The sequence below is a fragment of the Homo sapiens genome, chromosome 17, assembly GCF_000001405.40.
Source record: "Homo sapiens chromosome 17, GRCh38.p14 Primary Assembly".
NCBI classification, from domain to species: Eukaryota; Metazoa; Chordata; class Mammalia; order Primates; family Hominidae; genus Homo; species Homo sapiens.
In genome coordinates this window covers 20,435,758-20,448,576 of record NC_000017.11, presented here as the reverse complement: position 1 = coordinate 20,448,576, position 12,819 = coordinate 20,435,758, and the positions used below count along the sequence as shown (strand labels likewise).

The 12,819-nt window shown below is 51.6% G+C and overlaps 1 pseudogene across 1 annotated transcript, besides 1 other annotated feature; it reads right to left on the bottom strand.

Annotated features, from left to right (window-relative positions):
- Positions 1-1,332: 1,332 nt before the first annotated feature.
- Positions 1,333-11,753, bottom strand: NOS2P3 (nitric oxide synthase 2 pseudogene 3; annotated as a pseudogene). Its single transcript, NR_144552.1, has 5 exons — positions 9,942-11,753; positions 7,343-7,550; positions 5,703-5,789; positions 4,583-4,731; positions 1,333-1,912 (listed from the first exon to the last, which is right to left on the bottom strand). The product of NR_144552.1 is annotated as a nitric oxide synthase 2 pseudogene 3 (transcript).
- Positions 9,966-11,070: a non allelic homologous recombination region, noted in NCBI's record as "recombines with the distal SMS-REP block A recombination region". NCBI's record gives the evidence for it as "EXISTENCE:nucleotide sequencing assay evidence [ECO:0000219][PMID:14639526]" and "EXISTENCE:restriction fragment detection evidence [ECO:0001124][PMID:14639526]".
- Positions 11,754-12,819: the final 1,066 nt, after the last annotated feature.

The following is a 12,819-nucleotide window of genomic DNA, read 5'->3' as shown; positions in this document are numbered from 1 at the left end:
AGGGTGTTGGAGAAAGCAGGCTGGGGCTCTAGTCTTTTGGGCAGGAGTCTCGGACACAGGAAAGGTGGTAATGGGGGACCCCAGGAAACAGCCCCATGCCTCCGAGATGGGAGGCGGGCTGGGGCAGAGCCTGTGAGGGCCACAGCAGGGCCAGAGCTGGCTCCTCGGACCTGGCATCCCAGTGGGAGGAGGTGGCTTGGGGAAGGGGTGTCAGGAGAGGCCCACCCGAAGCACCGTATGGGTGTGTGTTCCATTGTGGGTCTCCCTGGCAATAGGGTTAGGACTCGCATGAGAAAAGTGGCTCAGTGTCCATGTGTGGGGTTCTGCCAGCCACTGAGCCACCGCCAGACAGCCCAGCTCCGCGTCAACGTGATGCCAACACATCCTGCTTGGCCCAGCAAGAATCCAGTTCCTCAGGCCCCCGTGTAGTCCTCAGAGTGGCGGCGGCAGCAGCGACTGAGAGCTTGTTGGAAACGCAGCATCCCGCACCCCACCCCACCTGCGAGATCAGAGTCTCTGTCTTCACGGGACCCCAGATGAGGCCCGCACATGAAAGCTGGGAAGCCCTGGTCCGGAGCGGACTCCTGGCCGTGTTGCTGAGATGCACGGCTGCCACGCAGGGCAGGGCACGTCTGGAGCCTGAAGTTGGCACTGCACCTTCTCCTGCCACCTGAGACGCTGCTGCTGGAAGGAGGAGGGGAGGGGGAGGGTCCTGGGCCTGGCCCAGGAGGCACAGGCCAAACCCCAGCTGGGAGCCACGTGTTGCCAGGACCCCAGAGGCCGCCACTGAGCTCCTTCCTTGGTTCTGACCAGGAGAAGGAAATGGGTCTAGTCTCTTAAAAAGCCTTCCCTGGCTGTCTCCAAACCCAGGAGGGTCTTCAGTCCCTTGGGCGAGGATGCTGTGGCCCACACTCGCTTTGACACCCTGTGTTCCCAGAGGCCACATCTGTACTGGCCAAACTCACGTGAGACAGGTGGCCCCAGAGCAAAACCTTTCTAAGACAGTGTCCAAGAAGAAGCTCAAGACCTTCCCTGAAGCTCTGGCCTCATATGAGAATCCCACTCTTGCCAGACCCCGCGTCAGATCCTTTGTGTGGGAGGCAGGCCTGTGCCGTCCACCCTACCGCAGGTCTTTGGACCAGCACGAAGCTCCATCTGCTGCTGTCACACCTGGCAGCCATTTCAGAGGAGCCGTGGCCTGCCTGGGGTGTCCCTCTGTGGGGCATCTGTCCAGGCTGCGACACCCACCAGCTCCCCACTCTATAACTGAGGGCCACATTCCCTATAAAACATCCCCCACCAGCTCCCCCAACAAACACACACACAGTGTGATTAAAGTAAAATTCAACTCATGTAAATATCTCCATCAGGGAATCATACAGAGAAGACCCAAGGGGCCATTAGGAACAGACTAGGGTGTTCGTTTTTTAAACAGAGGCATAAATAATTGTACCCATGGCAGTTAAATACACAGTGGTGTGACGGCACTTCCTGGTGGTCACTTGAAGTGGTGCACTCAGCAGCGGGTTCCATCTTTCACCCACTTGCCAGGCCTGGCATTGAAGATTTCGTCTCCAAGGGACCAGGGAGGCCCCAGCTTGAGAGAGGAGGCTCCGATCAATCCAGGGTGCTACTTGGTAGGAGGTCAAGTAAAGGGCTTGATGGGGAACGAGGTGAGAAATAAGACGTGAGGCTGGGGGATATCACTTTCCTCCATCTCCCCAGGCCCTGTGACCTCGGATAATGCAGAGCTGGCTCCATCGTTAAGTTCTGTGCTGGCAGCTTTAACCCCTCCTGTGGGCCCTCAGAGTGCTGACATCTCCAGGCTGCTGGGCTGCACCGCCGCCCTGTCCTTCTTTGCCTCGTAGGGAAATACAGCACCAAAGATATCGTCATGGAAGTGCTTCTGGCTCTTTTAGGTAAAAACAGAGACCAATGTGTCAAGTCCAGGCTGGAATGAGCCCCTGGGGTTGCCCAGCTTCCTTATCACATGGACCTTCATGAGCCATCTGTCTTCCCAACTGTTATACTTTGATTGCGCTTGAATCTGGTTTAGACCCTAAACCCGCTCAGCACCTGCTCTGGAGCAGGCCCTCTAACCATTTCCAAAGCTTTACTTGGCATTCCCATTTCCTGCCCTGTGCTCATCCCCCACCCAAGATGCTCCAGGAAGTGTGAGCTTTCAGATTAACACATTTGGGAAATGCTACATCCTTTCTTTCCTCCCAGCCTTGAAGGGTCCCGATGCACAGCAGCACGTTGAAGGCCCCCAGAAGTCTTGTAGTAAAGCAACGTGCTTGCCTTGGCTTAACTAAGCATGTCCTAGGCTATTCGACCTTGTAACCTTTTGGATGCCAAACATCTACCGACTCATTTAACACATTTGGGGAAATGCCTGTTATCTCCTCACTGTTCTTCAAACACGCCAGCTTAACTCCCACCCCCGGGCCTTTGTATCTGCTGCCCTCTCCAGAACAGCCCAGAGTGTTTCCTTCAGTATCCACGGGGCTCCTCCTCACCATCTCAGGTTTATTCTCAGACGCCGCCTTCCAGCTCCGCCTTCCCTGGCCACCCTATTTAAAATTACACTCCCCAGTGTCCCCTGGGCTATTTCCTGCTGTTTTTCTCCGAAGCACTACACCTCTTCCTTGTTTGGGTTTGTCAGCCCCAGTGGAATGTAAATAATTTTTGCCTGATTCATTTACTGCTCTATCCCTAGCACACAGTAGGTGCTCAATAAATATTCAGTTGAATGTATGAATGTGTCTTAGGGAGAGTATGGAAGTCACAATCACAGGCTTTGGAATCAGAGAGACGCAGACTGAACTCTAGGCTCTCACTGCTGTAGACCCCATAGGCCCCCTTCCCTCTGTAAAACAGGGTGCTTCCCTCATAAAGTCCTCGGCAGGACTGAAAGAAATGTCACATGAGAATCCTTGGCAAGCACTTGGCCCAGTGTAAGCCCTTGATAAATATCACTATTATTTTCATCAATAAAATGCAAGCCCTTCCTGCTGGGAGGATGAGGGTGAGCAGACGCCAGCCTGTGTGTAAATAAGAAGTGTGAGGTTCACACGAGGCTGACGGGGGGCAGCCTTGCTCTCCCCTGTGTTCACAGCCTTGCTTTGGCCACACAGATACTTTCTGAAAGGGGGGTTTGGGGAGAGGGCAAGTAGACTCTCTTGCTCCCATTCCACAGATGGAAAAATGGAACACATTCACCTGACTTCTCAAAGCTGCCAACCAGTCCAGGATGTGCAGTGGGGCCTTCTGACAGCCCACCCAGCTCAGATCCCAGCCACTGCTAAGATTCCCTTGGGGTCCAGAACTTTTCTGGGCCTGACTCCCCTGGGTCTACCTGCCACCCCTGGTCCTGGCTCCAATAGCCTGTGCCCTTGGCCAGGACCCTCAGCCCATACACCCACTATTACACCTTGAGCTGAAAGAAATAGTCCTCGACCTGCTCCTCATTCAAGTTCAGCTAGGCAGCCACCAGCTGCTAGGGTGTGGGCCACATCCCAGGCCATGCACACAGCCCTGCAAACATAGAGGTGGCCCGGCTCCTTGTGGAGCACACGGAGCACCTCGCTGGCCAGCTGCTGCTGCAGGATGTCCTGAACACAGACCTAAAACCAGAGGAAACGGTGGGTCCAGTTCCCGGCCACTGGAGACAAGGATTGCAGGCAGGACTGCTGGCCTCAGGGAGTTGGGGAGAGGGCACTAAGGGCTGTGGAGTGAGTCCCCTCCCAGCCACGACCTTGCACAGGTCCAGGCTCAGGAAGAGGAGGAGCACAGATGCTCTGGGGGCTGGGCTGGGAGTAGAGACATAAATGCTGGACACAGGCCTGCCCTCAAGGGGCTGACTGTCCAGTGGGGCTCCCAGACTGTCTCTGAATTTGCCATGCTTCAAAGAGGCATCAATGAAGGCAGTCCCCCTGCCCAGGGCTCTGCCTACACCCCTGAAAAGTATCCTCTCAATGCAGACTGTCCATCGGGTCCCTGCAGGGTACGGATCCCGGGCTTCCCAGTTAGAAGGTCCAGGAGTCAGTCGGGGACTCTCTGCTCCTGCTCCACACAGCATGCCCAGTGGCCCCAGCACTGGGCACAGAGCACTGGGCCCGAGAGGTGCCCTGATGGCAACAAATGTGTGAGAGCCGAGAGTCTATTCTGACACCTCAGGCTCAGAGGGCAACGCGGCCCTGGGGGCAGGTGAGCCCGTCTGAGGGCCATGGTGGAAGCATCGGCCGCCCTCCAGCCTTGCTGGGTTTGAACGTAGCCGGCCTGGACCACCTCTCCCAGGGGAGCCACCTGTCCCGGGGGCCTGCGGATGACCTTCAGCAGGCTGGGCTCTGGGCTCAACCCGCCTGTGACCTAGGTTAGTCCTGAACCTCTCCGGTCCTGTCACTTCTCTTGGAAGAGAGGGCGTAACAGTCTTCACAGCCCCACTCTGATGGTTGTGAATTACCTGCATTTTAGAGCTCAGGAGCTGCAGGCTCAGGGAGGCGAGGGGCCTGTGGGGACCCCGGGCTCACACTGGAGCCTGCGTTGTGTACTGCTTCACCTGCTTTGAGGCTGCATTTACCTTGGGCTTGCCAGGCAGGCAGGAATAGGCTGTGGGCACCGCAGGCAGCACCCCCTTCCGAGCCATCTCCAGCATCTCCTCCTGGTAGATGTGGTCCTCATTTGGGCTGCGGCACTCGAACACCGGGGTCATGCGGCCTCCCTGCACTCCTGCAGGAGTCCCGGGCTGTTGTTACCATGTTGGCCAGCAGGGCGCTATGGCTCAAAGCCGAACTGGAATTCTCACTTCACTCCCACAAGTATCCTAGCTAGTTAACAGCATTATCCCCACTTTACAGATGAAGAAACTGAGGCCCAGGGCATTCCAATCACTCATACATAGTCACACAACTGAAAGTGCAGATGCAGGATTCCCTCAGCCCATCGGAGGTCAAAAGCAGGGACTTTCCCGTTACCTCCACTCCCGAGAGAGGGAGCCCCGGTTCCAATGCCGGAGACAGGAAGGCGGCCGTTCTCACCCACATAGGCCCCACACAGGGAGACAAACTTGGGAGGCCTTCCCTCCAGAGAGGTCCAGGAACCGTTTGTGGGGCTACGGTTCTGCTCCTAGGCAGGCGCTGGCCTCTGGTACCCTCCCACCTGGGAAGCCTCCAGCCACACCCTTTTGCTGGGAGTCATGGAGCCGCTGCTGCCAGAAACTGAGGAAGGGAGGGATGCCTGTGCCAGGCCCGATGAGGACACGAGGATGGGAGGGGTCCTCGGGGAGCCGGAAGCCGCTGGCGCTGAAGAGGACAGGAGAAGAGGGGGCCAGTCCTCAGACACCCCGGGCCCACGCACACACAGGACGGCTGGGGAGCTGGGCCTGTGGGGAGCGGTCGTAGCGGGTGGAGAGCAGCTCCTATTTGATTTCCCACGCCCTGCAGGCGGCTTCACTTCTGTCCAGCCACCAGCACCTCCCCCAGGTCCTTCTGAAAAAGGGCCAAGCTCACTGGACTCTGGGCCCTTCCAGCTCTGCTGTCATCGCTGTCTCTGCTAGAGACAGCCACACCAGTGTGACCCCAGTGTCTTCTTTGTGGGCCAAGGAGCCCCGAGCGGCACCTAAACCCCAGATCCCTCCCTTTCCTCCCCGAACCTCCAGGGGTCGGCGGTCCCACAGGGGACAGAGTGGAAGGGGTGCTTACTTCCGCACAAAGCAGGACACTTGGTCTTGGGGCTTCAGTTGTTGAGCCATGTGCCGCAGACGCCGTGGTGCAGGGGACCCTGGCCATCTGCAACGATACCACAAAGTGACCAACGTCCCCCCACTGCCCATGCGCAAACTGTACCAGCTGCTCCGCCCACACCACGGCCTCCTTGGACGCCCCCACTCAGGCACTCTCAGGACTCAATGAGCAGCTCTTTGTCCTCCTGGTTCTGAGATCCACCCGCTGTGAGCCCAGAGCTGAGGAAGGTTGAAAGGGACTTAGAGAGGTTGCGAGTTGCTCCATCTTCAACGCAGAAAGTGAGTCCCGGAGAGGAAGAGTGACTTGGACAAGGTCACTCAGGTCATGGTGAAATCAGGACAGCTCAGCTTCCCTGACTCCTACTCCAGTGCTCCTTCCAAAGAGTTTCTCCAGGAACACTCCCAGCTCACCACTGAGCTCCACTGACAGCAGCAGGAAGTGGCCCCTCGGGGTGGCTACTGCTGTGCGTGCTCATGAGCGTGGCCCTTGCTGGTTGCAACCCTGGGTGGCGGATGAGCTCCGCGCGTTTCAGCCTGCTCTGGCACCTCGCTTTCCTCCTCAGTTGCCCCTCCTGGGCTGGTAGAAACCCAGGAGGTTTCTCTGGGTTGCATTTCTTTTACAATGGCCCAGCACTTGCTGGAGGCCTCCAACCAAACTGCAGAGGTCCCCCTGGTTTTCCTCGGGATTAAATTTTGCTCTCACAGGACGTGTCTGCCTCTCCTCTCCTGGTCTGGGTGGGTGTTCTCTAGCAGGACAAACAGAGTCTCTGGCCAGTTTTTAGAAACTGTGTTTTTGTTTCCTAGACAGAGGGCTCAGAAGTATAGGCAGCTCCCAGCTTTGCCAAACCAAGCAACACTCAGTTACAGAGGGCAGGGCGGGGGGCAGAGGCCAGTGGTGGAGCCAAGACCACCTGAAAGAGATGTTGGCCTACCACTCTATGGCAGCGTCACCCCCTCTTCACTGTCCTCAGTGATGCTGACCTTTCCTTCTTGGCTTCTGGACAATGAGAATCATCTAATTATTTCTACACTCATCTCTCCACTGCTGCCTCTAGATGCTCCCTGAGGGCAGGGCTGATGTCTGTTGTATTTCCACACCTGCCCCAGTGCTGAGCACGGAGAGATGTGAAATAAACCGTCACTGAATGAGCTCAGTGAGTGAGTGAACAGCCAATGCAGAATCTCCCCTGCGTTCAGGCTGCACAATCAGGAAGACTAAGGACCACTGGGCTCTCACCAAGGGTTGGGTGCTCTCCAAGTCTGATCTCATTAAATTGTCTCAAGAGTAGTGGGACAGTGGAGTGGTGGAAGACTTGGACTCAGCAGTTAGACCACCCAGGTCCAAATCTCAGCTCTCCACTTACTCACAGTGTGACTTTCTGTGCCACCTGTAAAATGCACACAGTACCTACCCTACATGGTAACTGATCATATACATACAGAAGGCTTGGTTTACTGCCTGGTTCATAGAGCTGTCTCCCACATGCCTCCTATTACCATTAGCAACTCTGGGCTGTAGGTGTTCCCTCCCTCCTTGAACTGATGAGGGAACTGAAGGGGCAGAGCGTGACTGCTCCACAGCCTCTGCCCCAGGCTCACCTCGAGTGTGGTACATGAGCACGGCCACAGTCAGGTGGATCGCTGTGGGCGTGTGATCCTGGGAGGAGCTGATGGAGTAAAACCTGGGCTTCAGAATGGGGAGCAGGGAGAGCAGGAAGCCAGCAGACACCTGCAGGGATGGGAACTCCTCCAGCAACTCCAGGAACGTGGGGCTGTTGGTGAACTTCCACTTGCTGTACTCTGAGGACTGAAAGCCAAGGGTGATGTGAGCGACTCAGGGCGCCTGCCCTGCTTTGGGGAAAAGGCTGTCACAACCCAGTATTCATTCATTTCTTCACTCACTCAACAAACAAGTCCATGTGCCAGGCACTGTCCGGGGTGCTGAGACTACCAAGCTTAAGAAGAAATAGTTCCTGTCCTGGAGGAACTCAGTCCGGTACACTTATCTAACTTATGTGACTTCCACTGTCAGCAACTCATGGGCTGGGGTCAAATCTTTGTTGAATGGCACTTTCCCCAGCTGTCGTGTCCTAGGCAGTTTGGGTGGTAGGTGGGCAAATCATTAAAAACAAATCAAAATCTCTAGTGAGAAAATCTTTTTCATTGTCTTTCAATCTTCCCGAATCCTTTGAGGGGTCTGTTGCTAGGCTAGGCTTACTCTCAAACCCTTGTAAATCCGTCCCTCCTGCCTGAAAACACTCTCCCTCAGCCCCTGCTTTTATCAAACAGAGCAAAAGCAGCTCTCAAGCTCAGAAGGTTTACCACTGTAGAATTTAATGATATTGTTTTGTTTTATTGCATTTATTTTTGTGATTACTTTCCATTAATGGCAAGTGACATTATTTTTCCATTTAGAGTGATTTAAAATTTTTCTTAAAACACAGGTAATCAAATTTTAAAAACTGAGTTGATTTCTATGAAAATATTAAGTAATGGTGTAGGTTCTACACAAATATGACACTATGGAACAGATGGTTCCTGGAATTTGGGAAATGTTGATGGGCGGCGTTCCCTAACCTGACACTGCTTAGAACGTTGATGGGCGGCATTCCCTAACCTGGCACTGCTTAGAACGTTGATGGGTGGCGTTCCCTAACCTGGCACTGCTTAGAGCGTTGATGGGCGGCGTTCCCTAACCTGGCACTGCTTAGATAGGGGAGACACCTCTGAACACAATAGTGTTTGTAGTGCCATTTAGATCTACTGGGTTCTGATAACTCATGGGTCTTTTTTTTTCTTTTTAAATAAATAATTACCTTTTCTTGATCACTATTGTGTAAAACTTGGAAATACAGAAAAACATGTAGAATAAAAGAAAATATAGAAAAATATATAGAATAGAATGAAAAATCACTCATCATCTCGCCACTCAGAAATAACCACTCCTAGTATATTGGTAAATGTTTTTCTCTCTGTGCACCAACATAGCTGTTATTATAGTACATATATTTTATTTTTGTAGCCTGTTTTATTTCCTTAACCTCATAGTATAAGCATGTTCCATATCATTCAAAATTCTTTATAAACATGGTTATAAATGGCTGTAAGATATTTAATGTAGAGAAGCCTCATAATGGATTTAATCATTCCCTAGCTGTTGGACATTTAACTATTCTCCAAATGTTGGGTTGTTTCTGGTTCTGTCTATTATCATGTTGTGATGAATATATTTTTGTTTGTTTGTTTGTTTGTTTAATAGACAAGTCTTACTCTGTTGCCCGGGCTGGAATGCAATCATGTGATCATAGCTCACTGTAGCCTCAAATTCCTGGGCTCAAGCAATCTTCTTCCCTCATCCTCCCAAAGCACTGGAATTACAAGTGTGAGCCACGGCACCTGGCCTGAATATTTTTATGCACAGCTCTTTGTCTTTATTTTAGATGGTTTCCTTATAGTAATTTCAGAAGTGGCATTCCCAAATGGGAAGATTTTGTAAGGCTTTTAGGATACGTATTGCTGGACTTTTTTTAGAAGGATGAAACATGAAGGTATTCAGATCCCCTGGACCTACATGATGGGACATACCCTAATTTGTGTGTGGGGTGGTGTTGTCACTAGAAAGAGCTCAGACTCTGCTACATTGGGCAAGTTACCCAACTTCACCAACTCCTGTTGGTGCAGGTCTGAGTAGTCACTTCCCAGAAATCCAAGAGTGACAGTTCTTCACAGCTAGGCTAATGAGTGCTCATATTTTAGCTTTAAAAGTACAGATGTGGGCTGGGCATGGTGGCTCATGACTGTAATCCCCGCACTTTGGGAGGCCGAGGTGGGTGGATCACTTCAGGTAAGGTGTTCAAGACCAGCCTGGCCAACATGATAAAAACCCATCTCTACTAAGAAAACATAAAAGTTAACTGGGCATGGTGATGCGTGCCTGCAGTCTCAGCTACTTGGGAGGCTGAATCAGGAGAATCTCTTGAACCCGGGAGGCAGTGCTTTCAGTGAGCCGAGATCGTGCCACTGCACTCCAGCCTGGGCGACAGAGCGAGGCTCCAAAATACAGATGTCATTAACTTCAGTTTGTGTTATTTCCCTTTCACGAGAAGGGCTCAACAAAAATATTTGGGAAAACTACTTGTCTCAACAGCCTAAAATGCTTTTTTTGTAGCAGAAGCAGGAAAGGTTTGACCAAACATACCTGACATTAGGAAGAAATGCAACAGGCACTCATGCTTCCTGGTGTCCACGATGCATGTGCCAGGAGCCGAGCAGAGGGCCTGGTGTTGAGCATTTCTAATCTTCCCAAGCAGCTTTCCCCACCACGGATTACACAAAACATTGGTTCTGCAGGATGCTAACAGGTATTCCTTGCAAAAAGGAATTTTGTTGTTTAGAAAAACTGAGTTAATGAAAGTGGAACCCATTCTTTTGTTATTTGAGAATTCCCAAGATGAGGATATGATATTGAGCATTTGCCAAACTCACTTGATAATAAAAACCTTTTCCATCTCATAGGATTGATGTCCCAAAGACAAAACTTTGAGAATCACTGCTGACAACAAGCTTACAATATAATATTTCTCTTTGTATCTCACAAATAGGAAAGCTGAGGTCAGGTAAATTGACCAAGATAGCAAAACCTAGTGATTCAAGGACTCAGGGTCAGAACCCAGAGCCACCTGACCTCAAACCCATGTTCTGTTCCACTCTCTCCCCGAAAGGGGCTCAGACTGTAGGGTGCCCCTGACCCAAGTGAGTGCCTGAAGCCAGAGGGCGAATATGAAATCAATATCAGAGCTTGAATAGAGAATCCCAAACTGACTGTGTTGATCCTGGAGACTGGGCCACACTAGAAACTGATGCAGGGTGAATAAGCCAAGGAAATGAGCAGCCTGGAAGCTGAGCATGAGGAAGGCAGTTGGGATAAATTTTGGGGACTGCATGGACTGCTGTGTCATGGAATCAGCTGGCTTATGGGGGAACAGGATTCATCTCTTGTACCTGGGGTAAGGTGGAGAGAGGAGGAGGAATAATATTCTATTTGAGGGCTGCCCAAGAGTCTCCTCTTATTGCCTCGCAGCTCTTGACTACGTTAATTCTCCATGCCTCCCACTATGAAATCATCAAGTATTCTTCTGTCTCCTGTTGTCCCCAAAGTCTCAGCCTGGGCTGTTTTCTTCTAGGGCTCTGCTTTTCCACACCTTTAAAACCTCTCCACGTGCATTATTCTGGCTTCAGAGGTGTGGAAGAAATGGATTCTGATAACGCAATAGCATAATATCTAAAGCACTGCTGGTCCATGCACTCGACAAAGATTCATGTCCCAGTTGCTGGTCTAGGCACCACAGATACATTAGTGAGCCATCCGGACACAAATTCCCGGCCTCATGGCATAGCCCTTCGCTGAGGGAGAGACGATAAGCCAGATAAAGAAGTCAAATGTTAAACAGTGATCCGCAATAAAGAGAAAAGGGGGAGGGGCCTGACATTTCAGATTGGGTGTCCAGAGGGCCTTACTGAGAAGGGGCTTTTGAATTTCCATCACAGCCTTTTGAGCAGAGAAGGGATTTAACATTTGCTGCACTTCTGGCAGCTGACAGGCATTGCACACTTACATATCCCATATTTTCTTTTCCTCTGTAACTTAACAGATGAAGACAGTGAGGCTCCAAGAAGGCAAGTAATTTTTCCTCATTAGAAACTTGTTCTGACACCAGAAAGCCCATGCTCTCTCTGCAATCTCACACTCTCTTCTTGAAATAACCAGGCCAGCCACTATGTTACTCCACTTTATAGGAAAGGAAACAGAGGCCAGAGAACCTTGGAGGCCTGCAGAGCTGGGACTGGGGTTCATGTCACCTAACGCCCAGTCCAGTTTTCTTTCTGCTTTAGTAGACTGGGAGCAATGAGTATAGGATTGGTTTTTTGTTTTTTGGTTTTTTTTTGGTTTTGGTTGTCTTTTGTTGTTGTTGTTGTTGAGATGGAGTCTCGCTCTGTCACCTAGACTGGAGTGCAGTGGCACGATCTCGGCTCACTGCACCTCCACCTCCTGGGTTCAAGCGATTCTCCCACCTCAGTCTCCCAAGTAGCTGGGACTACAGGTGCGTCCAGCTAATTTTTTGTCTTTTTAGTAGAGACAGGGTTTCACTGTGTTAGCCAGGATGGTCTCGATCTCCTGACCTCGTGGTCTGCCTGCCTCAGCCTCCCAAAGTGCTGGGATTACAGGCATGAGCCACCGTGCCTGGCTTGTTCTTTCTTTTTTACTGGCGTACAGAAAGAAACAAAAGACTGAAGGGCTTGTCAAAACTTCTATGCATGTGAAATGATAGAAGTTGACTTAACAAGAAGCGGCAGTGACCAAATGACTCAGCACCCGATTGCACCGCACCGGTCTCTTGAACAGCTGCGAGGAGACTAAAGCCTTCTAAACGCTTCTGGTGGAAGGATGGGCCACAGGCCAGCAACATGGGCAGGACCTGGGAGCGTGTTAGATGTGCAGAATCTCAGGCCTCATCCCAGACCTACTGGATCAGAATCCACATGCTAACCAGGTGATCGTATGCATGTTAAAGTGTAAGAAGCCCTGCTCTGACTGCCCCATCCTGTGGTGCAATGAGGCTGGGTGTCCCCACAGAGCAGTCAGGAAGCCTAGGTATAGTTATAGGAAGACTCATGCCAGGTAGGACTGCGGAGCTGGGGTGACATGGGCAGAGGCCTCTGCAGAAGCTTAGCTCTGGTTCTCCCAGCAGCGGCAGCTCATTTTAGAGGGACTGAAGGGGAGGGTATGGGATGGTGGTGTTTCTGTTTCATTTACTGTCCCATTGAGACTAGGACTGGTGGAAGAGATGTTCTCTATGACCTGCTGAAACCTGAGAAGGAATCTGCAGGAATAAACAAAGCCTTTAGAGCTTACTAATTCTGATATTTGGAGGCCTTTGCAAGGTTTAATTCAATTTATTATTTACTGATGACCTACCGTGTACCAGACATTGCACTAGGTACTGGGAATACAAAGGGAATCAAATGTCCTAGTGTTGTATTGGGAAGGGAGTGTCACATTCTTGCATGTGTCTGTG